Below are 26,934 nucleotides of genomic sequence, written 5' to 3' on the forward strand. Positions count from 1 at the left end.
CCCAGGTTCAAGCGATTCTCCTGCCTCAGCCTCCCAAGTAGCTGGGACTACAGGCTCACACCACCACGCCCAGCTAATTTTTGTATTTTTAGTAGAGACAGGGTTTCACCATGTTGGCCAGGATGGTCTCCATTTCCTGACCTCGTGATCCGCCCACCTCGGCCTCCCAAAGTGCTGGGATTACAGGCGTGAGCAACCGCGCCCGGCCGCGATCTTTTTTTTTTTTTTTTTTGAGACGGAGTCTCGCTCTGTCGCCCAGGCTGGAGTGCAGTGGCGAGATCTCGGCCGCGATCTTAATGGAGTTATTTTGGAGTGATAAAGTGCAAACTTACAGAGCAGCGGAATCAACAGTTTTGCAGAACATCTAAAAATATTCATGCATATATGTATGCACATGTATGTACATGTATGCACCTAATAGAAACATACTGCAAAAAAAGCCATAATTTAATTTTACAAGACGAAATATTTTGTATTTTCCATTTCATTTTCATTGTAGCAATGCATTTATTGTAAAACTTATAATTATTTTTCTAAATAATTGGACACTCCAGAAACTTGTTTATAGACAGTCAGCATCTGAGGCAACTTAAGACAGTATTTTTCACATTGTAGGTGGAGACCAATTAGGGTGTGGTAAAATTAAGTATAATCATTTTCCTAAATAGAACAGAAAATACTAGGTAAATCAGAAATAGCAAGGATATTATATTTAAATTTGGTTCAGTTATATATGTGTGTATATACATACACAAACACACATATACACACACAGTCAAGATGTGAAATGCATTTGTTTGTATGTGAGAATTAGTCTGCATCAGGTGTGGTGGCTCACGCCTGTAATCCCAGCACTTTGGGATGCCGAAATGGGCGGATCACTTGAGGTCAGGAGTTTGAGACCAGCCTAGCCAACATGGTGAAACCCTGTCTCTACTAAAAATACAAAAATTAGCGGAGTGTGGTGGCGTGCACCCGTAGTCCCAGCTACTCGGGAGGCTGCAGCACAAGAATCGCTTGAACCCAGGAGGCAGAGGTTGCGGTGGGCAGAGATTGTGCCACTGCACTCCAGCCTGGACAACAGAGTGAGACTCCAAATCCAAAAAGAAAAAGAAAAAAGAATGAATTAGTCTGGATAAGCTACACTAGGTGAAATTGTGGTAACACCTCCCCACCCCCACCCCTAATCAGCATAGCTTAACATCAAAGTATTTTACATGTCATACGTCACTCCCATAAAGTCCCATAAAGTCGGCTTGCTCTCCTTGGTGGTTGTCTTCCAGATTTTCAAGAATGTAATATTTATATATCCTTCAATTACTCCATCTTGATGGTCTTTACTTCTAGGTTTAAAATCTTTCTAGAGAGAGCACAGAGGACTCATACTAACTCTTACCCAGGGTTAAGAGCCTTGAAACAGAAACAACCCAATCACTTTCTCTCATGGGCCATTGACCAGAATAGACACATGCCTCCAATTTTTAACTGTGAAGAAAGCTGAGGCCAGGCACGGTGGCTCACGCCTGTACTCCCAGCACTTTGGGAGGCCAAGACAGGCAGATCACGAGGTCAGGAGATCAGACCATCATGGCCAGCATGGTGAAACCCCGTCTCCACTAAAATACAAAAATTAGCCGGGCATGGTGGCGCATGCGTGTGATCCTAGCTACTTGGGAGGCTCAGGCAGGAGAATCGCTTGAACCTGGGAGGCGGAGGTTGCAGTGAGCCAAGATCGCGCCACTGCACTCCAGCCTGGGTGTCGGAGTGAGACTCTGTCTCAAAAAAAAAAAAAAAAGAAAGAAAGCTGAGAAATGTAAACGAGTGTGTAGTATACTTCATGAACACTACTGTCTGTTACACTACAGATCACAATAGAAAATATTGGCAGGGCGCGGTGGCTCAGGCCTGTAATCCCAGCACTTTGGGAGGCTGAGGTGGGCGGATCACGAGGTCAAGAGCTCGAGACCATCCTGGCTAACACGGTGAAACCCCGTCTCCACTAAAAACACAAAAAATTAGCCGGGCGTGGTGGCAGGCGCCTGTAGTCCCAGCTACTCGGGAGGCTGAGGCAGGAGAATGGCATGAACCCAGGAGGCGGAGCTTGCAGTGAGCTGAGATCGAGCCACTGCACTCCAGCCTGGGCGACAGAGTGAGACTCCATCTCAAAAAAAAAAAAAATAAATAAAAATATATATATATTTATCTTTATATTTATATTTAAAAGGCACTACCTTAAGAAACTCCAGGCCATGGGCTAGTTCACAGATTCAGGATTTCTTCAACTCTCTCAGGGTTTGTTTTGTTTTTGTGAAACTGGCATCATCCAGAAGATAAGGATACTGCAACGAATTAGTATTACTAATGTTTTATTCTAAGCGATCCTATTATACTTTGTTGCTATTACTGGACTAGCACTTTTTTTTTTTTTTTTTTTTTTTGAGGCAGAGTCTTGCTCTGTCACCCAGGTTGGAGTGCAATGGCTTCAGGCGATTCTCCTGCCTTAGCCTCCCAAGTAGCTGGGATTACAGGTGCCTGCCACCATGCCCAGATAATTTTTTTTTTTTTTTTTTTTTTTTGGATTTTTAGTAGAGATGGGGTTTCACCATGTTGGTCAGGCTGGTCACAAACTCCTGACCTCAGTTAATCCACCCACCTCAGCCTCCCAAAGTGCTGGGATTATAGGCATGAGCCACCGTGCCCCGCAATTTTGTTTTATACCTAATTCTGCACTCTTCTTCCTACAAAACAGTGAGATCCTTCATCTTTGTATAAATCTCTTATAGAATTTGGGGGATGTGCTTTGATATAACATTACGGATACAAAATTATGTTGAAAAGTGAGTACTACATTTAGAATGCAAAAAGAGCCACAACAACTTACTAGAGCTGTGGAAATTCAGGTCCTTTCCTTCTGTGAACTCTTTTAGGCAATTTACCACAAGTGCTACATAGAACCTCTTCCTGTTTGTGACCTGGTTTCTGCTTCCACCAAATGCCCAGCAGCTCCCAGTGCTCATGGGGGCTGTGCAAGTGACAGGCCTGGAGCTTAGGCTTCCTTAGTTTCAGAGTAAATTGCTTTTGAGGTCATTCTATAAATGTAGGTTGAATTAAATTGACTTGAACCAAAAGCTAACTTCATTTAAGGATATCTCTAGTGGAATAGATAAATTTACAAAAGCTGTTAAAATACATAGATATCCCAGCTTACCTGGATGCAAAAAGATCATGAGCTATCTAGCAGATTTGCCTTTTTTCGCTGATGATTTTTTAAACTTTTCTTTATAATTTTAGGAGTATTGTTTTTCAGACCTCACTACCCACTAATTTAAACTTGATGAAATAAATTAATGTTGTCCCTTCCAATTTTCAACTTACCTTGTGCTTTTCAAATGGGATGAGTTCAATAAATTCTTTTTAAAAAATTTTTTATTTTTCATTTTTGTGGATACATAGTAGGTGTGTATATTTATGGGGGTACATGAGCTATTTTGATACAGGCATGCAATGAGTAATAATCACATCAGGGTAAATGGGTATCCATCATCTCAAGCATTTATCCTTTGTGTTACAAACAATCCAATTATACTCTTTTAGTATTTTAAAATGTTAATAAATTCTTGATGCTAGTGTTCAATCTCCTGTGACAAGAAAGCATTTATCCTTTTTCTTCTTACAGTGCTTTCTCCAGCAGCATGAATACTATTTCTGGTAAACTAGGAGCTAGAAGGTTAGTGGCTTTATCAAGCTCACTTAGTTAAATAGCGGCAAGAATACCTGGAATCCGATTCTTCTGATTCACAGTGCAATAACTTTTTTATCCAACTAGACAGCTTCAACAGAACTACTATGATGAAACCGCTATAAGCACATTATTCCAAGTTTGTAGTACAAGTTTTTCTTCTCAAACACAATTATTGGAGATAATCCTCTCATTTTTAATTAAATTATTATCATAATTACTTTGCTTTGTTATTAATAGTCCTTATTGTGAAAAACATCCTCTTCTTTATGTAGTCATCCCCTGTACCTCCCTTTATTTTTGTTCTGGTATACCTGTATTTGTTGAAGATGAATACACGTCTAAATTATGGAAAAGTGTCTTTGTTTTGTGCTATAAGAGAATAGCACAGACTGGGTAATTTATAATTGTCAACCAAGATAACAGAGAGAGGCTCTCTAAAAGAAAATGATCTTTATTTAGGAATAGGGCATTGCAATAGGAGTATGTGCACCCTTAGTAAACTACATGGGTATTTAGGGAGGTGAAGGAACACAAAGGGTTTTAAAGAAAAAATGAAAAGGATTACATAATTGTTTTGAGATAAGTTAGCCATGGCTACAAAGATCAATTACAAAGGTGACACCAGTCCAAGATTAGATAGGCAGTTGCTGGGCAGATATCCTCACAGAAATACTGTTTTTCGTGCAAGGTTGCTGTGGTGTTTGTGCAATGTTATGGTTTTTGCAGCATCTTTTGTGATAGTTTTTGTTACCAGGCATTTATTTGTGAGAACCCTTCCTTCATGGCCCTTTGAGGCTCTATTTTTTATTTTTGTTTTTTAACACAAGTGACTCCATTTTGATCTTGACAACTTTCACATAATGAACAGAAATGTATTAGCTCATGGGTTCTTGAGGCTGGGAAGTCCAAGATTGAGGGGCTGGCATCTGGTGAAGGCCTTCTTGCTACATCATCCCATGGCAGAAGGACAAAGAGAAGGTGAGAGAGAGAGAGAAAGAGAGAGAGAGAGCAAGACGGGGCCAAACTCATCATTTTATAAGGAACCCATTCCCAGGATAACAGCATTAATCCATTCATGAAGGCAGAGGCCTCATAGCCTAATCACTTCTCATTAGGCTCCACCTCTCAACATCATGACATTGGAGATCAAGTTTTCAACATGTAAACTCTGAGGGCATATTCAAACTGTAGTATAAAGTGTATTAGTTAAGAACTCAGTCTCTAGACTGATGAGGTTCAAATAATAGCTCTGCTGCTTACCAGTTGTCTAACCCTGGTCATCTACTTAGTCACTCTGAGTCTCAGTTTCTTCATCTGTAAAACAGGGATAATTATTGGTAAGTCATAGGGTTGTGGTGAAGTTTAAATGAACTTAAATGAAATTAGAGCAGTGCCTGATACATAGTAAAAGCTCAATAACTGTTAGCTTTTTTTAAATTTAGAACAAATCTGGACTCTATAACATGGACTATAAAGAACTCTGTTTTCAGAGATGAGGAAGATCTCTTTGTATCTAGCTTCATACAAGGAGGAACATGCTCTGTCTTTTAAGACAAGCCTTTGACACTGTAATGCAGTTGTATTCTGCAGGGAACAATAATCAAATATGTTGGGTTACAATATGCCAGCTTACTCATGCCATTAGATATTTGTTCTGCCCTGTACACTCCTAGATTTGGTGTCCCCAGACATTTGGAGTGATTCCAGAATTCACCTTTCATTTTTGGTTAGTCTAGAATGGCCTTTGAGAGAACAAAATGTATCAATAAGAAATCTTAGAGCCAGATCTCTTCAATCCTATTGTCTGGAGATTCCCAGGATCAAGAAATGGCCTGCATACAAGATTTGCCAGAACAAGAAGTGTCCAAATAATTGGTGAACACCAATCAAGGTGATCCAGCTGGGGAAGCCTGTCTGGATTGTGATGTAACTAAAAGTTTACACCAAGTTATTATATTAGTTTGCTTTAAAAGATGGTGAAAGGAAAATTTATGGAATCCATAAATAGAGGTCAGAAAGATCAAATTTTGGCAGGGTGTCTGTGTTCATTTCCCATTGTTGCTATAACAAATTACCTTATTTTACAGTTCTGGAGGTCAGAAGTCCTAAATGTCATCCTTTCCTTTCACTGGTGTGCCACAGCAAGATGGTGGTGCAGTTTTTCAAGAAGAGGAAGTTTGTCATTGATGGTATCTTCAAAGCTGAACTGAATGAAGTTCTCATTCAGGAGCTGGCTGAAGATAGCTACTCTGGAGTTGAGGTCTGAGTTACACCAGCTAGGACAGAAATCTTTACCTTAGCCACCAGAACACAGAATGTTCTTGGTGAGAAGGGCTGGCATATTTGGGAATTGACTGCTGTAGTTCAGAAGAGGTTTGGCTTTTCAGAGGGTAAAGTAGAGCTTTATGCTGAAAAGGTGTCTACAAGAGATATGTGCCATTGTCCAGGCAGAGTCTCTGTGTTACAAACCCCTAGGAGGGCTTGCTGTGCAGAAGGCCTGCTATGGTGTGCTGCGGTTCATCATGGAGTGTGGGACTAAAGGCTTCAAGGTCATTGTGTCCAGGAAACTCTGAGGACAGAGGGCTAAATCCATGAAGTTTGTGAATGGCCTGATGATCCACAGCTGGGACCCTGTTAATACTATGTTGACACCGCTGTGCACCATGTGCTGCTCCAACAGGCTGTGCTGGGCATCAAGGTGAAGGTCATGCTTCCCTGGGAACCAGCTGGTAAGATTAGCCCTAGGAAGTCCCTGCCCGACCAGGGGCAGGGGACCCATCTTTGGGTTCGTGGAACCCAAAGATGAGATACTCTCCACCACTCCCATCTCAGAAGAGAAGGGTAGGAAGCCAGAGCCACCTGCCATGTCCCAGCCAGTCCCCACAGCATAACAGGGTCTACTTAGCAGCTGTGTCTGGAGTCTGGATGTTGTTCTGTAAAGAACTTTAATAAAATCTTGTACAAAGAAAAAAGTCCTAAAGTCGTAGATGCATCTCACTATGCTAAAATTAAGGTGTCAGCAGGGCTGTATTCCTCTCTAAAGAATCTAGAGGATAATCTGTATTCCTGCCTTTTCCAGTTTCTAGAGGTTCCCACATTTCTTGGCTCATGGCTCCCTTAATCTTCAAAACCAGCCATGGCCAGTTGAGTCTTTCTCATGTTGTGTCACTCTAAATTGTACCTTCTTCTTCCACATTTAAAGTACCCTTGTGATTACTACCCTGGGCCTACCTGGATAATCTGGGATAATTTTCTTATTTTAAATTCAGCTCACTAGCAACCTAAATTCCATCCGCAACCTTAATTCCTCCCTGCCATGTAACATAACATATTCACAGGTTCTGGGGATTCAGTTGAGGACATCTTTGGAGACTATTATTTTGACTGCTACAGTGTCTTCAGATTGTTAATCAGCTCTGGCCCACAGACTTAAGTATCTAGGCTCTTCAGCAAGTATGTTCTTAGGGTACAAGTTGATGTATCAGATTGTTATAACTTGATAGCACTAACTTCAACCAACTTCTATTGATCTAATTTTGTACTTATGAAGCAATCTTTCAATAATAATTTGGTTTCCCACATTAATTTGCCTATGGAAATATAATGCTATGAGCAGTAAAAAAGTATTTAATCAATTGGCAATTATCTTTATAAATCAATTAATTTGTATTGTTTTTTCTTTTTTTTTAACTGTAATCTCATGACAGATTATATATTAGGTTTTTTGCAGGTTTTTTTTTTTCACAGATGGGGGTCTCACTATGTTGCCCAGGCTGGTCTCAAACTCCTGGGTTCAAGTGATCCTCCTGTCTCAGCCTCCAAAAGTGTTGGGATTTACGGGTATGAGCCACTGCACCTGGTTGGGTTTTTAATGTATGAGTTTCTATGAGCTTGATCAATGTATTTACACCCAAGAGATAGACTAGACTTAGTAATCTGGCAGCTCATGTTTCTGAGTCTGCAAAAATAAAGACCAGATCTGCAAACTCTGGGGAAGTCTATCTGTCTAGTGGTCTTCTGAAATGATTGATTTTGAGGTACTTTTCAAACTAAAGCTCAGAATGGATCTCACTTTCTGGCTATAAACTGGATACTCCCCTAACTTCTTTCATTATGTTATTTATCCCTGCAGCATTGGCCAATTCTCTTCTTTGTTTTTATTCATTTTTTTCACATCTACATACTATAATTGAACTTTTTTGGTTGCAAAGTTACTTCCATAAATTTACAGTTCATTAAAAGAAGAAATGTGGATTGGCGCTAGAATTGTAACTAGAAAACTGTCTGGAATTGAGACATACTTCTTTTTGTGTGTTTCTTGTTTTCCTGTTCCAACTGGCCTATACTATTTCCCCATTCTGAGTATTTTCTGTCTGCTTCATAGTCTCTGCATTGTAACTTTAGTTTGTATGCTCTTAGTTTTTCTCTTTAACATGAACTTTCAGCTTTAATTCCATTCTACTTCATTCTCTCCTTATTTCCTTTGTTTATATAGATAGAGGTTTCACACCAAAAAAAAAAAGTGTCTAGGGCCCCACAAAACTAGGGACAGCCCTGATGAGAACAACCATAATTGGCTTAGGATGGTTGGTGGTCCTTAATCTTGACTGTGCTTTAGACTTACTTGAGGGTGCTTCTAAAACAATCATCCTTTTCAGACTTGACTTCCAGACCAAATTTCTTCTATAGAATAAATACACATACAAACATATTTATATGCCTGTGTACTTATTTATATCTAAGCAAGAAGAAATAAGTGGAAGAATATACATCAAGACATTGAAATGATAATGGGAACAACCACATGATAATGAGCAACAACTATATTAATCAGGGTTCTCCAGAGAAGCAGAACCAATAGGAGATTATATATATAATTGGCATACTTGATTATAGAAGCCGAGAAATCCCACAGCCTGCCATCTTCAAGCTGGAGATCCAGAAAAGCCAGTGGTGTAGTTCCAGTCCAAGCCTGAGGGCTTGACAACCAGGAGCACTGATGTCCAAGGGCAGAAGATAAGATGGATGTCCAGATTCCAGAAGAGAGAGTGAATTGACCCTTCCTCTGTCTTTTTGTTCTGTTTAATCATGCAACAGTTTGGATGATGCCCACCACATTGGTGAGGGCTATCTTCTTTACTCAGTCAACTGATTCAAATCTCTTCCTACTATGTCCTTTTTCTCTTCCAGGAGAAAAAACTTCATAGCCACACCTAGAAATAATGTTCTACCAGTTACCTGGGCATACTTAGCCTAATCAAGTTGACTTCTAAAATTAACCATCCATAACAACCAAACAGTACAGTATTTTAACCCAAATAATAAAATAAATATACCTGGATCTATGCTGACATACATATGTAAGTATATGATTAAGTAAATAAATAAATGGGTAAAAGATAAATCTTCCTTACTAAAGAATTCCAAATAATACATGTAGACAGTTTCCCCTCCAGAGATGGAACTTAAAGCTTCACCCCTTGAGTATGGGCTGAATTTAGTGTCTTGCTTCCAAACAATAGATTATGTAAAGGGAAAAAATAGTAACTTTACAGCAGAGACACCTGGCACACACTACCTGAACAAAGCGATCAAGGTTAGCATCAACACTGATAAGTCATGTTGGTAGTATGTATTCCTGACATGATGTGATAAGGAGAGAACTCTACCTTTACCTCTGTGGTCTTCCTCTTAAAAGTCTGTAACCCTACAACTAGTCATGAGAAAAAAAAAAACATCATCAGACAAACCCAAATTTAGGGACATTATACAAAACATCTGACCAGCACTATTCAAAAATATCCAGGTCATCAAAAACAAATAAAGACTGAGAAACTGTCACAGACTAGAGGGGAATAAGGAGATTTAATGGCTAAATGTAATGTGGTATCCTGCGTGGGATCCTGGAACAGAAAAAAGACATAGTAGGAAAAATTGGTGAAATTTGAATAAACTGTGAAAATTGATTAATAGTCATGAAGCAATAACAGTCTCTCAATTTTAACAAATGTGCTATAGTTATGTTAAGATGTTAATATTAGGGGAAACTGGGTAAGAGACATATAGGCACTCTCTGTGCTATCTTTATAACTTTTCTGTAAATTTAAATTAAATTATTCCAAGATAAGAGGTTTGATGTAGTTTGGATATTTGTCCCTGCCCAAATCTCATGTTGAAATCTAATCTTCACTATTGGAGGTGGGGCCTGGTGGGAGGTGTTTGGGTCGGGGGAGGATCTCTCTTGGCTTGGTGCTGTCCTCATGATAGTGAATGAGTTCTGATGAGATCTGTTTGCTGTAAAGTGTGGCCCTCCAGCCTCCACCTCTTGCTCCTGCTCCCGCTATGTGATGTGCAAGCTTCTGCTCCACCTTCTGCCATGAGTAAAATCTCCCCGAGGCCTCCCCAGAAGCCAAGAGATGCCTGTTCTGTACAGCCTGTGGAACTGTGAGCCAGTTAAACCTGTTTTTTAAAATAAATTGCTCAGTCTCAGGTATTTCTTTATAGCAACACAAGAATGGCCTAATACAAAGCTTACTTTAAAAATATACTCCAGGCCAGGTGCAGTGGCTCATGCCTGTAATCCCAGCACTTCGGGAGGCTGAGGTGGGGAGATCACTTGAGGTCAGGAGTTTGAGACCAGCCTGGCCAACATGGTGAAACTAAAAATACTAAAAATACTCTCTACTAAAAATACAAAATTAGGTAGGTGTGGTGGCATGCGCCTGTAATCCCAGCTACTTTGGGAGGCTGAGGCACTAGAATCACTTGAACCTGGGAGGCAGAGATTGCAGTGAACTGGGATCATGCCACTGCACTCCAGCCTGGGTGACAGAGTGAGACTCTGTCTCAAAAAAAAATTTTATATATATACATATGTGTGTGTATGTATATATGTGTGTACATATGTATATATACATATATGTGTATATATGTGTGTACATATGTATATATACATATATGTATATATATGTGTGTCTGTGTGTACATGTGTGTGTGTGTATATATATTTGTGTGTGTGTGTGTGTGTGTATATATACTCCAAAGATTCTGAGGTGTGGGTTGGTACAGCATCTCACTTACCTGAGTCTGAGGGCTGCATTGATTCTCATTTACCTTGTATGTGGTTGGTTTAGGCATGAGCAAGTGACAATTCTAGCCAATGCCATGGAGGGGAAGTCTGCTGAGAACTTCTGAGCGAGGTCATAAACTAAAGTATTTGGAGGAAAAAAAAAATCAATCTGTTTTCTGCTACTGACTGTTGTATCTATAGTGAGCAGTTCTGGGGATGATTTTGCCCCCGCTCCCCATGGGACTTTTGGCAGTGACTGAAGAGTGAAGACACTTTTGCTTGTTGTAACTGTGGGGAGAGTGCTATGGGCATCTACTGGGTAGAAAACAGGGATGCTGCTAAACATTCCACAATGCACAGGACAGCCCCCCATAACAATGAACGATTCAGCCCCAAATACCAACTTCCAAAGTTGAGAAACTGCTGTATGTGATCACTGTTGTGTGGCAGATGTGCTATGACTGTAAAGACAAGGCTGAGGATGACAAAACCAAAGGGCATGAAAAAAATTAGTTCAGGGTGACAATGTTGAGGAACCATTGAATTAAACAACCTCTCAAGTGCCTATATCTGGATTTTTTTTTTTAGTTGATTTGGCAGGTGGGTTGTTACACACTCCTTAGTGGATTCCAACTTCCATGGTCACTGTCCTGCTCGGACTTTTTTTAGGTGAAAATAAATCTCTTTATTGTTTAAAAACTCTGTTGGCGTTCTAATTGACATAGAAAAAGAAGAAGGAGTACAACAAATTTTGTGGGGCTACAAGCACAGAGCATCCCAGGGAGGGGAAAAACGGTCCATCTGATAGAAATTCTAGCTGAAATCCCACTTGCTTTGAGAAGTCACCAAAATAACTTTCCGTGTTGTCAAGACAGACGCTCAGCTTAACACTTCCGTCACAGTAGGCTATGCTTATTTTATTTGTTCCACTTATCAGGATTTAGAACAAAACTTATCTGAAAGTGACTTGAAATCAGGGAACATTGTTATAGTTTTTATATATTCTTTGAAGAAACAGCTCCCAAACTTTTCTGTTCAAAGACGTTCAGTTTATTATTATTATTATTATTTTTGAGACGGAGTTTCGCTCTTATTGCCCAGGCTAGAGTGCAATGGCATGATCTCGGCTCACCGCAACCTCTGCCTCCCCAGTTCAAACGATTCTCCTGCCTCAATTCCCAAGTAGCTGGGATTATAGGCACGCACCACCACGCCTGGCTAATTTTGTGTTTTTAGTAGAGACAGGGTTTCTCCATGTTGGTCAGGCTGGTCTTGAACTCCTGACCTCAGGCGATCTGCCTGCCTCGACGTTCCAAAGTGCTGGGACTGCAGGTGTGAGCCACCGTGCCTGGCCAGATGTTTAGTTTTTTATTAAAAATTTTAAAATATACATTTGTTCTTTGTACTAACCAAGAAGCACTGATCTTCAAAGACATTTAAAGTGCTGAAAAGGAGAAAATGACATAATCTCTTTAAATTTGCAATTTAGGCTGGATGCAGTGGCTCATGCCTGTAATCCCCACACTTTGAGAGGTCAAGGAAGGAGAATCGCTTGAGCCCAGCAGTTCAAGACTAGCCTGGGCAACATAGCAAGACCCCATCTCTAGAAAAAAATTAAGGCTGGGCAACATGGTGAAACCCCATCTCTACCAAAACATACAAAAATTAGCCAGGTGTGGAGGTGCATGCCAGTCCCAGCTACTGGGGAGGCAGAGGTGAGAGAATAGCTTGAATCCTGAAGACAGAGGTTGTAGTGAGCCGAGATTGCACCATTGCACTCCAGCCTGGGCAATAGAGAGAGAGAGACACCCTGTCTTAAATGAATGAATGAATGAATGAATACATAAAATAAAAATAAAAATAAAAATAAGTTAGCCAGGCTCAGTGGCACACATCTCTAGTCTTAGCTACTCAGGTCTGAGGCAGGAGGGTGCCTTGAGTCCAGGAGTTTGACGTTGCAGCGAGCTATGATTGCACCACTACACTTCAGCCTGGGTGACAGAGCGAGATCCTGTCTCAGAAAAAAAAAAAAAAGTTGCAACTTAGAAACATTTTTGGGCCGGGCACGGTGGCTCATGCCTGTAATCCTAGCACTTTGAGAGGCCGAGATGGGTGGATCACGAGGTCAAGAGATCGAGACCATCCTGGCTAACACGGTGAAAACCCATCTCTACTTAAAAAAATACAAAAAATTAGCCGGGCGTGGTGGCGGGCGCCTGTAGTCCCAGCTACTCGGGAGACTGAGGCAGGAGAATTGCTTGAACCCGGGAGATGGAGGTTGTAGTCAGCCAAGGTCGCGCCACTGCACTCCAGCCTGGCAACAGAGCGAGACTCCATCTCAAAACAAAACAAAACAAAACAAAACAAAACAAAACAAAAAAATCGCAATTGAAATTGGAAAATAATTTTTACGTGAATTATTAAAACAGTGTGTAAATGGGAATAGATAAAAATGGAGAAAAAGCTGTTATACTTTGTTTTTTTCCTCCCTTTTTGTAATGTGATAGGAGGGGGAAATCAAGGCATATTGAGCATAAGTTTAAAAGTTTAAATGGTCTTACAGGAATTATTTCTTTAAGAAGAGACAATTAGTGACAGTACTGGAGGGAAGAATATCAGGCTCCTATGGCCAGGGCCTTGGATGTGCTAATTTAAAAGTTTTCCTTAACATGAAAGCCGTGATTTAGTCAAGTTATGATAAAAACAATACTTGAATTTGGTAAGCTAGTGATACCACTTTTTATCTAGGATTTTATTTTATGTAATGCTACCTTTACTCACAAATTGTAAAGCCAGTAGAAACACATTTAATCTCACCAGTCTTTTAATGCACATTATTAAAAACAGAAATCCTTATTCAGCTCCTAGGTAATAAATTCTTGATCTACCTATGTAAAAATCTAACTTAGCAGTAAACATCTAACTCGGCTACCTGAAATGTTACCATACTTAATAACAGTTACATGCACACATTTTATTTGGTCCTATTAACAAGCCTATTAAGGAGGTATTATTATGATGCTCTTTTTATGGATGAGAAAACTTAGGCTGAGAGAGATTAAATAACATGCCCAAGTCCACATAGGCATGAGCACACTTTGGAGACATTGTGGGTTCATTCCCACATCACCACAATAAAGCAAATATTGCAATAAAGCAAGCCACACATTTTGTTTTGGTTTCTCAGTGCACATAAAAGTTATGCTTACAGTATATTGTAGTCTATTAAGTATGGAATAGCATTATGTCTAAAAAACAATGTATGTACCTTAAACAAAAAATACTTTTGGACTGGCGCGGTGGTTCATGCCTGTAATCCCAGCACTTTGGGAGTCTGAGGCAGGCAGATCACGAGGTCAAGAGATGGAGACCATCCTGGCCAACATATTGAAACCCCATCTCTACTAAAAATACAAAAATTAGCCGGGCATGGTGGCGGGTGTCTGCAGTCCCAGCTACTTGGGAGGCTGAGGCAAGAGAATTGCTTGAACTTGGGAGGCAGAGGTTGCAGTGAGCCAAGATTGCACCACTGCACTCCAGCCTGGCAACAGAGTGAGACTCTGTCTCAAAACAAACAAACAAACAAACAAAAACCCAAAAACAAAAACAAAACAAACAAACAAAAAAACTTCAATTTTCAGACAGAGTCTCACTCTATCACCCAGGCTGGAATGCAGTGGCATGATCTCAGCTCACTTGCAACCTCCATTTCCCAGGTTCAAGCAATTCTCATGCTTCAGCCTCCCAAGTAGCTAGGATTTCAGGTGTGTGTCACCACACCCAGCTAATTTTTGTATTTTTAGTAGAAATGGGATTTCACCATGTTGGCCAGTCTGGTCTTGAACTCCTGACCTCAGGTGATCCACTCACCTTCGCCTCCCAAAGTGCTGGGCTTACAGGAGTAAGTCACCATGCCCGGCCAAAAAACACCTTACTGGTAAAAATTCTAATGATCACCTGAGCCTTCAGTGGGTCATAATCTTTTTGCTGGTGGAGAGTCCTGCCTCGATGTTAATGGCTGCTGACTGATCAGGGTAGTGGTTGCTGAAGGTTGGGGTGGCTGTGGTAATTTTAAAAAACTAAGACAACTTATGATTTGCTTTATTCATGGTAAACTTACTGAAGTGTTCTGATTTGAAAGGTATGAGTTTATTATCATACATTTGTGGGTACAGCAAGTTTGTTAATTATGTGGTTAAATATTTTATATTCTTACTGATCTTTTTGTCTGCTTTTTTCTGTCAGTTACTATGAGAGGTGTGTTAAAATCTCTCTCTGAAAGAAAGAAAGAAAGAAGAAAAGAAAGAAAGAAAGGAAAGAAAGAGAGAAAGAAAGAGACAACCGTGAAGCTTGCTGCATCAGTGGACTCTTCCTTTCACAAAACATTTTTCTGTAGTATGCTATGCTGTTTGACAGCATTTTACTCACAGTAGAACTGCTTTCAAAATTGGAGTCAGTCCTCTCAGGCCTTGCCAATACTTTCTCAACTAAGTTTATGTAGTATTGTAATTCCTTTGTTGTCATTTAAACAATGTTCATAGCATCTTCACCAGGAATAGATTCCATCTCAAGAAACCACTTTCTTTGAGCATTTATAAGAGGTACCTCCTTATCTGTTCAAGTCTGATCATGAGTTGCAGCAATTCAGTCACATTTTTAAGCTGCACTTCTAGTTCTCTTGCTAGTTCCACCACACCTGCACTTGCTTCCTCTACTGAAGTCTTGCACCCCTCAAAGTGATATATGATGGTTGGAATCAACTTTTTCCAAACTCCTGTGAATAACATGTTGCTATTTTAGCCTCTTCCCATGAGTTACAAATTTTTTTTAACACTTTAACTTTTTTTTTTTTTTGAGACAGAGTCTTGCTCTATTGCTCAGGCTAGAGTGCAGTGGCACAATCCCAGCTCACTGCAACCTCCACCTCCTGGGCTCAAATGATCCTACCACCTCAGCCTCTGAGTAGCTGGGACTACAGGTGCATGCCACCATGACCAGCAAATGTTTGTATTTTTTGTAGAGATGGGGTTTCACCATTTTGCCCAGGCTGGTCTCGAACTTCTGTGCTCAAGCAATCCATCCACCTTGGCCTCCCAAAGTGCTGGGATTACAGGTGTGAGCTACCATACCCAGCCCACAAATGTTCTTAATAGTTATGACAAATGATGAATCCTTTCCAGAAGATTTTCCTTTAAAGTTTGAAGCCAGGCATTGATTTCTCTCTAGCTATGAACGTCCTAGATGGCATCTTTTTCCAATAGAAGGCTGTTTCACCTACATAGAAAATCCATTGTTAAGTATAGCTACCTTCATCAGCAATCTTAGCTAGATCTTCTGGTTAGCTTGCTGCAGCTTCTGCATCAGCACTTGCTGCTTCACCTCACACTTTTATGTTTTGGAGACCACATCTTTCCTTAAATCTCATGAGCCAACCTCTGCTAGCTTCAAACTTTTCTTCTGCAGCTTTCTCACCTCTCTCACCCTTCACAGAATTAAAGAGAGTTAGCGCTTTGCTCTGGAATAAGCTTTGGTTTAAGGGAATATTGTGGCTAGTATGATTTTCTATTCAGACCACTCAAACTTTCTCTGCATCAGTAATAAAGCTGTTCTGCTTTCCTATCACTTGTATGGTCACAGGAACAACACTTTTAGTTTTCCTCAAGAACTTTTCCTTTGCATTCACAACTTGGCTAATGGTTTGGTGTAGGAGGCCAAGCTTTGTGCCTGTCTTGTCTTTCCACATGCCTTCCTCACTAAGCTTACCATTTCTAGCTTTTCATATAAAGTGAGAGACTTGCAACTTTTCTTTTCACTTGAACACTTTTACTTTTCACCCTACACTTAGAGGCCATTGTAGGGTGTAGCTGACCTAATTTCAACACTGCTGTGTCTCAGGGAATAGGGAGGCCTGAAGAGAGGGGAAGTGATGGGGACTGCCAGTCGGTAGAGCAGTCAGAACACACACATTTATCAATTATGTTTGCTGACTTATATAAATATAGTTCATGGAACCCCAAAAGAATTACAACAATAACACCACAGATTACTGATCGCAGATCACCATAACAGATAAATGGCACCAATAGATGTACTCAATGCAGAGTCACCACACACTTTCCATTGTAAACAGCACAATATCTGTGAAACACAATAAAATGAAGTGTGGCTGTAGAATGCTGCAGCCAGGAAGTAATTCCAGACTGTGTGCCTAGAGTGTGTATGACTTCTATATTATACTGATAGTGCCAAGAAGGAACAAAGCAGGTATGTGTCAACATTGAACATATTAAGGACCAGCAAATAGCACACTTCCACAGGCCTTCCTACTGTGCTGAGCTGCTAATAGGTTGTCAATAGATATTTATTGGTTAAGTTTTAAAATTTTTTTTCCTGTTGCGGAATGGTGGGCAGGACGCTGAGCTAAGTATCAGACCCAGATGCTAACAAGGGCTCCTCTATTCACCAACCATGTGGCTTTGGATAAGTAACTTATCTGACGCTCATTAAAAAAATTAGAATAATAATAACTGCTAGGCCTACTTCCTAATATTGGGACTATGTATGGAATTCTTCAGAAAATGTGATTTAAAAAAAACAACAACAAATGAAAAGCTTTACAGACCCAAAATCTAAGTTCAAAGAGGCCCACTAGACAGGGTACCACACTTCTGAAAAAAAGCAGCTCAACCTCTTAATTACAGACAGTAAACCAAATTCCACATCCCAGTAAAAGTCTGGCTAATAACTCAGGAATCTTTCATTTGGTCTTACTTCCCTGAACTTATTTTCCTGACTTTTTCATCTGACTCCATCACCCCTCCACCCAAATTAATCAGTTTCCTTTACAAAGTCATTTTCAGGAGCTGAAGTGAAAAAAGTATGCCTCCCAGAGGTTAGAATCTCAGGGGCATTCTGTTCAAAGAACACAGGAAGAAATACTTTGTCCTTTTTCTCTTAACTCAGGCCTCACAGGTCTTTTTGAAAGCCAGAAGCTAAAGTGGCTTAAGAGAAAGCTAGAAGTATTGGGGTAGTGGTGTTCCCACTTCAGGGTGAAGTTGTCAGGATGTACCTGTTTTATGATTCTAGTTCCTTTGATTGGCAGTCCTTGAACTAAATTAAAAACAGAGAAAAGTTCATATGATTTAAACTCATGATGCTTCTTTGTGAAAAGGGAAAATGAGACATGTTGTTAGCCCCAGCATCTCTTTTGAGATGGGGGTTTTACTATGTTGCCCAGGCTGGCCTCAAACTCCTGGATTCAAACTATCCTCCCCCGTAGGTGGAATTACAGGTGCATGCTACCGTGCTTGGCTATGGGCTTGTTTTTAATTGTTGGACGGTCTGGGTGCCCCTTTCACTTTATTCTTTTTTTCCGCTCTCACTTTTTTTTCCTCTCACTTATTAAGTCTTTGTCCTCTTTAAGTCCTCTTCTAAAAGACTGGAATTGCAGGTTACATTTATAACTAAATCTTCCTATCTAGGTAAAGAGAAAATATACTAAATTCCATAGAAAGCAGGTAATTTGTCCACAGGACACAGAGCTGATCACTGTGGAAGATCCCTCCAATCACATCTTCGATTCTCTCTCCCTCTTTCTTTACCTTGCCTTTGCTCTCTCCATGTGACGTGCCTGCTCCCCCTTCACCTTCCACCATGATTGTAAGATTCCTGAGGACTCCCTAGAAGCTGAGCAGATGCCAGCACCATGATTCCTGTAAAGACTGAAGAACCGTGGGTCAACTCTACCTCTTTCCTTTATAAATTACCCGGCCTCAGGTATTTCTTTATAGCAACGCAAGAACAATACCTTATTGTTTTCCCATTCATCCAAACAACTGGAAATTAAGCTTCCTGAGGCTGGAGGCCTTGGGTGTTTAGGACATAGTGAGCGCTCAACAGACACATGTTAAATGAAAGAGCCAATACTTTATTGCGCGCTGCTGTGTGCCCGGTATCGCTCTAGGAGCTGAGAGTAGAGAAGTAACGACTACACTGCGCTTCCTTTGGAGAGAGACACTGGAGAACTAAAACCGACCCAAGCGCTAAGCGATCTGCCTAATAGAGGGAACGCCAGCTGAGACCAGCGCAAGGCGGGCGCTGGGTGGCGTGCGCGACTGCAAAGTCTGGCATGCCCAGGTTCTGCTCCTTGGGCTCCTGCTGCGTGAGCCGATCTGCAGATCCAGCAAAAGACCCGAGAGCGGCTTGAACGCCAGATGATTCCTCCCTGAGGATGCGCCCCAGGCGTTCTGCCCTGGCTCCCAGCCGCCTCCCGGTGCTCCGGGGTTCGGCCTCACACACCTGTCGACCGCGTCGGCCCAGCTGCGGCCCAAGCCTGTGGGACTCCGGGGAGCGAGGCGCCCCCTGCTCCAGGCTGGGAACCAGAAATGCAGCAGGGCCTCAAAAAGAAACAAAATTCTTTCCCTCGGGGTTGCTGCTGCCGCACAACCTTACCCAGCCCGCTCTGCGGATGGGTCGTAGATTCCGGCTGGAAGCCGGAGGAAGTGCATAGAGGGCAGCTTCAAAAGCCAAGGCTGCGCTGCTTTGCGCGGGGCTTCTTCCCTCGCGTGCCCGCGCCGGGTGCCGGAGCAGCCTCCGCAAGCTGCTTTCATCTCGGTCTGCCGGGGCAGGGTCGAACCGCAGCTGTGGGGCTTCCTCTCCAAGCTTCGATTTGAGCTGGATGGAGACAGAAGAGACCGTGGTGCCCAGAGGCCAGTCTCACGGGGGATGGGGGCGGGTGGGATGGGATCAGAAAAAGCTTGAAATTCCTCCTGTACCTTAAACCTAAACAGCTGCGAGAGCCCCAGAGCAGGAAGCGCGGCTGCGGCTGAGAAGCTGGAGGAGGACCGGGGCGGGGAGGAGTAGCCCCAGCAGCAACAGCAGCCAGCCCGGGGGCGTCCTCTCCCAGCGGTGACCAGGGCCAGCCTTTGCCAGCCTGCCCGTCCTCGGACTCCTGGGGAACGTACACACAGCCTTTTGCTTAAGCAAGGCGCTCTGAAGCCGAATTACGTCTGCCTGGCATCCCGAAACACTGACGGCCCTGCTATGGCTGTGGGCAAATTCAGGGGTGGGGGTGTGAGGGGGGGACTAGCAGAGAAAGAGTTAATCTCCCAAGAGGAATATACATCAGTACTCTCCTGTCACTTGCTTTTTATTTAATGTTAATGTTAGACTTCACCAGATATTTCAACTGACAATTTCAACATTTTCACCTACAGAATTTCCTGGAAGGAAAAAAAAGCTTCTTAGTAAACATGTTTCTCTGTCTATGCTTCATAATATTGTCCACTATGGACACAGGAAACCAATCAACCGTTAACAATCACAGACATCATTTTGTGGTGCTTTTTCTTAGGGTATGAATACTTACATTGACTGCAGGTTTAGTTGAACTATAATTGTAACTCTTTGACTAAATGGAACTGATTTTAAATATTCAAACCTTTTTAAACAAAAGTAATAGGGCACGATGGCACTCGCAGCTGTTGGGAGGCTGAGGCAGGAGAATCGCTTGAGCGGAGGAGTTTGAGTTCCGCCTGGGCAACACAGGGAGATCCTGTCTTAACAAAAAAAAAGGTAAACAGTTAAGCATGAGAAAAATAATCTTTCCAGTCTTCCTAGTCTTCCAGAAGGCAGTGACTGACGTCCCTCAAACCATCGACTTTGGTACATTTTCTCCAGAGGATCAAAACCTAGGCCTGACTCTGGCATGGAGCCTGGAACAATGCAAGTAAATTAGACATCCTTTTCCTATGTATGACTGTGCCTTTCTTTGTCATGGTCACCAGGCTCTCCAGACTTTTTGAAAACTACGTAACAGTTACCTTGCAGTGCTCCTGAAAACACGGGGGAAGTTCATATTTGAGAGGCCTGGGAGGGGCTAGGATGATCCTAGTCAAGCACGAGCAGAGCTGCCGCACAGTGAGTGCTCATTGTGTGTTCATGGAAAGCATGAATGATGGTCATACCAAGAGAGGGGCTACCAAACTCTTACAGACGAATGTGAGCGCCAGGATCTCTTTTATTATTATTGATGTCATTATCATCAGTAAAAAAGCATTTAATGAAATTATTTTAAAAGGCTTCTTGCCTAGGGAGTCCAATACCAGCTTGGTACAGTCACAGAGGGCATCTGCCTTCCTTCCCCTCGTCGCCTTCCTCCCACTGTGCGAGCTTCGGAACCCTAAGGCCGGTTCACTGCGCATTGTCCCCGACAAGTTAGCAGCGCTCCCCGAGGGGTGTGAGGCACCAGGTAGGGTGCAGGGCGCGAGCGCGGGGCGGTGGTGCCCGGCGGGGGTGGGGTGCCCACGGACGCAGCCGCCTAGCTCTGCCGGCCGTCCTGAGGCAGCTGCTGGCGCCCGCCGGGAGGCGCGTGGCCACTTGCACTTCAGCGCGCGGTTCTCTCTCCGCAGGCTGCTTTCTAGGATTTGAAAGGGCCATAGCGACAGAAGTCGATCTCTAAGAAGGCATAAACTCGGCCTGAGACGTGGGGGGGAGACACTGCAGAGAAGAGGCCAAGTTCCAGCGCAGAAGGGGGGTTCCGCGGGGCCCTGGGATTGAGGAGACAGGAGCGAGCCTTCCCTTTCCGTCCTCTCAGGAAAACAGCCTGACCTGCTGGCACGTCCACCCCCAACAGAAGAGGGACCCCGGCGCGGCGTCCTTACCATCCCCATCCCCCGACCCCTGAGGAAGCCAGGGCTCTCTTCTTTCCCTGGGCGCCTGTCACAGGGGCAGAGGCTGGGCCTCGAGCTTTTCTGCACGTGAGCTCGGTGGTCCAGCAGAGTCTTCTGGCTCCCGGGAAAGCAGCGTGGCGCCGCCCCAGCCCCCAGTCCCCAGACTAGGGATTGGGACGTCAGTCATTGGCTGCAGGTTACTGGTCTGGGCTGGGCCCGCAGAGATCCCAAGCGCTCCTCTGTCGGTGCTTCCTCAGCGTCTGCGTTTCCGCAGATGCCCGAGGTCAGACAGTTTCGCAAGGGGGCTGAAGAGCCAAATGGGGAAACTGATGGAGCCTCACAAGTTTATTCCTTTCCCACGTCTGTGTTTGTCTAAGGGTGCTTTCTGTGCGGCTTTCTGAACTTGAGCATCACTTTGATGGAATGAAGTACAATCTTATGCCCTGAGCAATAACTTCTTATCGGCGATGACCCATTTAATCACTGGAAAATCTAATTGCATTGCTCCAGAGAGAGAAGTCTTTTTGAGATTCCAGCGTTCACTGTAACATTTCTTGTATCAAGAATGTAGAATCGATTGTTCACATTTATTTTCAGAAAAGGAGATAGAGTTGTAATGTTCTTACAAGTTTCTAACCAGTTTTTAAAAGACCAAACAATACTGAAAGGTAAATTAATTGCAAGCATAGGAGGCAAAACATTAGTTAGAAAAATTAGTCAAAACACCCTCTCATTTCAATTCCCAATGTGCAAGAGAAAGAAGCAAATCAAAATACCCACATCTCACATTTAGGTTACAGAAACTATTGCCTAATTATTCAAACAAACACCTAACATTTCTTTATTCTTTGATGTGGATATTGGTTTCTGTCCTCAGGTTTGTTTCCTCACAATTGATTGCTGCTTTTCTAAGAATCTCATTCTCACAAAACATGCAAACACAGAAATAATGGAGACTGTTTTCTTTTAGACACCCTTTTTAAGATGAAAGAAAACGGTTCCCATGTACTTCCAAAACACTTGCTCTCACTTGTTTTTTTTTTTTTTTTGCCATAATTGTTTCACATGCCTGTTCCTAAACCAGTCAAAAATGAAGGTAAAGGAACTACCATGACTGACTTAAGTTAATCAAGTTTCACCTCTTGGAGTCTGGAGGGACTTTGCATTCCCTAAAGCACTTGACCACTTTTACACAAACTCAGGGTTCTGCTAGCAAAAAACATATGGGGATGATGGTTTTTGGGTTGATATCTTAATATCTTCCATACCTGTGATCAGTCACAATCCCCAGTTTGTTGGCTATCTCTTGTCTAAATAGTTTACCTTCTCACATTTCTAGACCACTGATCATTTGAATCAAGGCAGTCTCCCCCACATTTATCTCTGTTGTATTTAATTATATTCATTCAGAGGAGGGGTAGCTATCTATTATCTGTCATTGAATAACTAATTGGTTATTAAAACTTAGTGACATAAAACAACACTTTATTTTTTCACCATTCTGCAATTTGGGTTGGGCTTACCTGGATGGATCTTTCTCTAGTCTCACCTAGGCTCACTAAGTGGCTATACTCATTTGGTGGAGAGCTGAGGGCTGGACCTTTTGCTCTGTGTGGTCTTTTGAGAAGACTAGATCAGGCTTCTTCATATGGCAATCGATAGCATATTAAAAGGGGATGACACAAATGTGCAAGTGCTGAAACTTCTGCTTGTGTCACATTTACTGATGTCCCACTGACCAGAGCAAGTCATATGGCAAAGCTTAAGATCATTATGAAAGGAGATTATGCAAGAGCATGAATACCAGGAGGTTCAATTCACTGGGGATGATTATGTAACAGTTTGCTACAGGAAATTAACCCCAGAAGAGAGAAAAAACAATCACTGGAAAAATTATGTGGAAATCAAAAGAGCCATTATTTTTGGCAATATTACACAACTTCTCTAAGCTGTGACTGAGTGAAATGTAAAAATCAGAGAATGAGAGTATGAATTCTACGGAATAAAACTTTTGCTATGCATGATTTGTTATATATTTAAAAAATTAAAAATAAGTATTTAAAAACTGAATTCATGTATGCTATGAGGGCAACAGAATAAGGTAAAGGATAAAGATGAAGCATCTTTCTAGATATTTTTCATATTCAGAAACAACCAAGTCCTGTCCTGACTTCTCTGTCAATTGGTTTTATTTTATCCAGCATCATTGGGTTATAAAAAACAAAGTTAAATTGTTGTTAAAACAAGAACCAGAAAATTGCCTTCAACTTGTCAACTTCATTAATTACTCGGCAACATATTCTAATGATGAAAGAGTAAGTAGCTTCTGATTGCTGCTCTGTGTCAAGCTCCTCTTTCTGAGGCAAGTAGGCACTGAAATGTCTGTCATGTTATCACAGAAGAGAAAAACTTTTGCTGAATTATATTTTTTCTTATAAAGTATTTAATCCAGATGCTGTCCTGCAGAATCCACACCTCCCTATATTTTCAGTTATACTAATCAGTGAATCATTCCATTTTTATCTGTTGCTCAAGTATAGAATCTTATTTCTAATAGCTTCTCACTTCCTCCTTTCTTTAACTTTTTTCTTCCATCACTTTATCATCTATTTCTCTCTACTGAATTCTTTCTTATTATTTCTTTCTATCAAGTCATCTCAACCCTCACATGAGTCATGATGAAGCAGGTTAAATTTTCTTAAGTCCTCTGCATCACCATCAGTGATAAAATTAAGAACCATATAATGATAGCCTTTGGTTTGACCTTGGAAACACGGATGGGTATCTCTTTCATTTTCAGTGATGTGAACCTACTTCTCCCTGCACTTGAAATATTTTTGCATTTGTTACTTTTCCCTTAGAAGCCTAAAATATATCACACAGCTGGCAGCTGGTTTAAGATTAGGAATGAATAAATTGATCAATTCTGAAGAAGATAGATGCTATATGAATAGTTTAATATCCTTCATTAAACATCTACTAAAATATAATTAAATGTTGGGGTTGACAATATCCGGAATTTAGACCACAGACCATGCTATTGGTTTGATTGTGTTCCCCAAAGTTCATGGGTTGGAAAGTTAATCCCCAATACAATAGTTCCCGGAGAAGGGGCCTAATAAGAGGTGATTAGGTCACAATGGCTCTGCTCTCATTAATGGACTAACGTTGTTATCATTATCCTGAGAGTGGCTTAGTTATTGGGGGAAAGGGCTTGCTGTAAAAGTGAGTTCTGCCCCCTCTGTCTCTCTTGCTCTCTCGAGAGCACTTTCTTGTCCTTCTACCTTCTTCTTTTTTTTTTTTTGACGGTTTTGCTCTTGTTGCCCAGGCTGGAGTGCAATGGCATGATCTTGGCTCACCGCAACCTCCACCTCCCAGATTCAAGCAATTCTCCCACCTCAGCCTCCTGAGTAGCTGGGATTACAGGCATGCACCACCACACCTGGCTAACTTTTTTTGTATTTGTAGTAGAGATGGGGTTTCTCCGTGTTGGTCAGGCTGGTCTCGAACTCCTGACCTCAGGTGATCCACCCACCTTGGCCTCTCAAATCGCTGGGATTACAGGCGTGCGCCACCGCGCCCGGCCATTGTCCTTCCACCTTCTTAACAACTAGAAGGCTCTTGCCAGATGCCAGTGCCATGCTCTTGGACTTGCCAGCCTCCAGAACTGTAAGAAATAAATTTATTTTCTTTGTAAATTACTCAGTCTGTGGTATTCTGTTACAGCAACACAAAATGAATCAAGACAGACTACAAATTCATAAATGCACAGCAATGATGTCCTGGATTCAAAGGATGTCTTTATTTTTAAACATTAAGTAGCAATTTTCAGAAGAATGGTTCCTATGTTAATGACTTAAACGTTTGTTTTTATTCTCCAAATATTTTTGGTAAAATAAAATCAATAGTATCTCATTTTAAAAGGTATATTTATATATAAGCCTCTCAAATATAAAAATGAATACAAATTACAAGGAAATCTAAAAAGTTAATTCATTGATAATACACACAAAGCCAAAGCCCAAAAGGAAACAAACCAACATCTTCCATATGTTAGTAGTACCACTTCGGGATTGCTATAAGCCTTGAGTAAAAGAACTTTCTCCCTCCCCCTGCCAAGTAGTGGTTTAGACACCAGAGTTTATTTTCACCTGGAAGAAGTCCAGCCATAGGTAATCCAGGGTTGGTGTGGTTGTTCCATTAAGTCATCTGGGATCCTGCTTCCTTCTATCTTTCTGTTTGGCCATCCTTAGTACATGTCTTCTATACACAGGATTATATCATGGACCAAGATGGCTTCTGTAGCCCCAACCATCATGTCTGCATTTCAAGCATGAGGAAAGTCAAAAGGGGGCTGAGTTGTCTCCTTAGTCTTAAAAGACACTTCTTTTTACATCGTATTGACCAGGACTTACATAGCCACAAAGAGACTGGGACACACAGTCTTTGTTCCAGACAGCAATGCAACTTGCAGTAATGTAATACAATCACGGTTCTATTAGAAGATGGAAAAAATGAATACTTGGGAAGGTAATAGAAGACTTTGTTATGGCGACTAAGGCAGTGTAGTGAAATTGTATCATGCTTATGAAGACCTTTCAACTATGACTGGGAATATCCTACCTCATGGCTCCATCCTTTCCGTATTTATAAATCAGATGCTCATTTTCTCAGCTTTCTTATTGCATATAGGATATAGCAATATGGCTTAGGTTCTAAGTCAGAAACTACCACCCAAGACTTTGATTTGGAAATAAGTAATGTGAAAAAGCAAACACCTGTGTGGAATCCCTTTTTGTGAGGTCAACAGCAGAGTATCAAACTTCTTGAGGCAGTAGGGGCAGAGAGCCATTCTCAGAGACAGCGGTGTAATTTGTCGGGTCTGTGTCCTGTGCCTTGGCTGTGGTGCCTCCAGTCGAGCCATCTTATGGTTTAATTTGGTTTCCTTGGGGAAGTAGCCTTGAAGCCAGTATTTCTTACATTTACATAGAATCAGAACCACCTCTTATCCCTTTCTGCTTCAACCCTTCACAGAGAGTTTTTGGTGTTTGTACTTGTATCAGTTTGCTAGAGTTGCCTTAACAAAGTACAACAAAACAGGTTGGCTTAAATAACAAAAATTTATTGTCTCACAGTTCTGGAGGCCAGAAGTTCAAAATCAAGGTTTTGATAAGATTGATTTCTTCTGACGGCTGTGAAGGAAGGATCTATTCCAGGCCTCTCTCTTTGCTTATAGGTGGCTGTCTTCATGTTCACATGACATTCTCCCTACATGCATGTCTGAGTCCAAATGCCTCTCCTTATGAGGACACCAGTTATATTAGATTAGGAGTCAACCTAATAAATTCATTTTAATTTGGTTATCTTGTTAAGACCCTATCTCCAAATAAGCTCACATTCCGAGTGAGGTACTGGTGGATAGGACTTCAACATGTGAATTTTGGGAGGACACG

The 26,934-nt window shown here is 41.7% G+C and overlaps 2 pseudogenes across 6 annotated transcripts in view, besides 3 other annotated features; both read left to right on the forward strand.

Moving 5' to 3' along the window:
- TSTD3 (thiosulfate sulfurtransferase like domain containing 3) overlaps positions 1–17,952 on the forward strand; it is a 66,727-nt pseudogene extending 48,775 nt beyond the window's left edge. For 3 of the 6 annotated variants that reach the window (NR_197380.1, NR_197373.1, NR_197375.1), the window contains one exon: positions 15,057–17,952. The product of NR_197380.1 is annotated as a thiosulfate sulfurtransferase like domain containing 3, transcript variant 14 (transcript). Of the gene's footprint in view, positions 1–5,829; positions 9,872–15,056 lie in introns of those variants that run through there. The other 3 variants (NR_197371.1, NR_197383.1, NR_197374.1) reach the window with 1 other exon arrangement.
- Positions 5,818–6,015: a silencer, noted in NCBI's record as "fragment chr6:100023517-100023714 (GRCh37/hg19 assembly coordinates)". NCBI's record gives its function as "represses an EF-1alpha promoter that drives an FKBP-Casp9 reporter gene in an ReSE screen in HepG2 liver carcinoma cells {active_cell/tissue: HepG2}" and the evidence as "EXISTENCE:reporter gene assay evidence [ECO:0000049][PMID:32094911]".
- On the forward strand, positions 5,859–6,641 carry RPS3P5 (ribosomal protein S3 pseudogene 5; annotated as a pseudogene).
- Positions 19,324–19,493: an enhancer, noted in NCBI's record as "active region_24863". NCBI's record gives its function as "activates an Ori minimal core promoter by ATAC-STARR-seq in GM12878 lymphoblastoid cells {active_cell/tissue: GM12878}" and the evidence as "EXISTENCE:reporter gene assay evidence [ECO:0000049][PMID:35858748]".
- Positions 23,062–23,516: a DNaseI hypersensitive site, noted in NCBI's record as "DHS6S1; present in multiple cell types; the nucleotide coordinates are approximate for this feature". NCBI's record gives the evidence for it as "EXISTENCE:in vivo cleavage assay evidence [ECO:0001075][PMID:22955617]".

Source organism: Homo sapiens, chromosome 6 (genome assembly GCF_000001405.40).
Source record: "Homo sapiens chromosome 6, GRCh38.p14 Primary Assembly".
Classification (NCBI taxonomy): domain Eukaryota; kingdom Metazoa; phylum Chordata; class Mammalia; order Primates; family Hominidae; genus Homo; species Homo sapiens.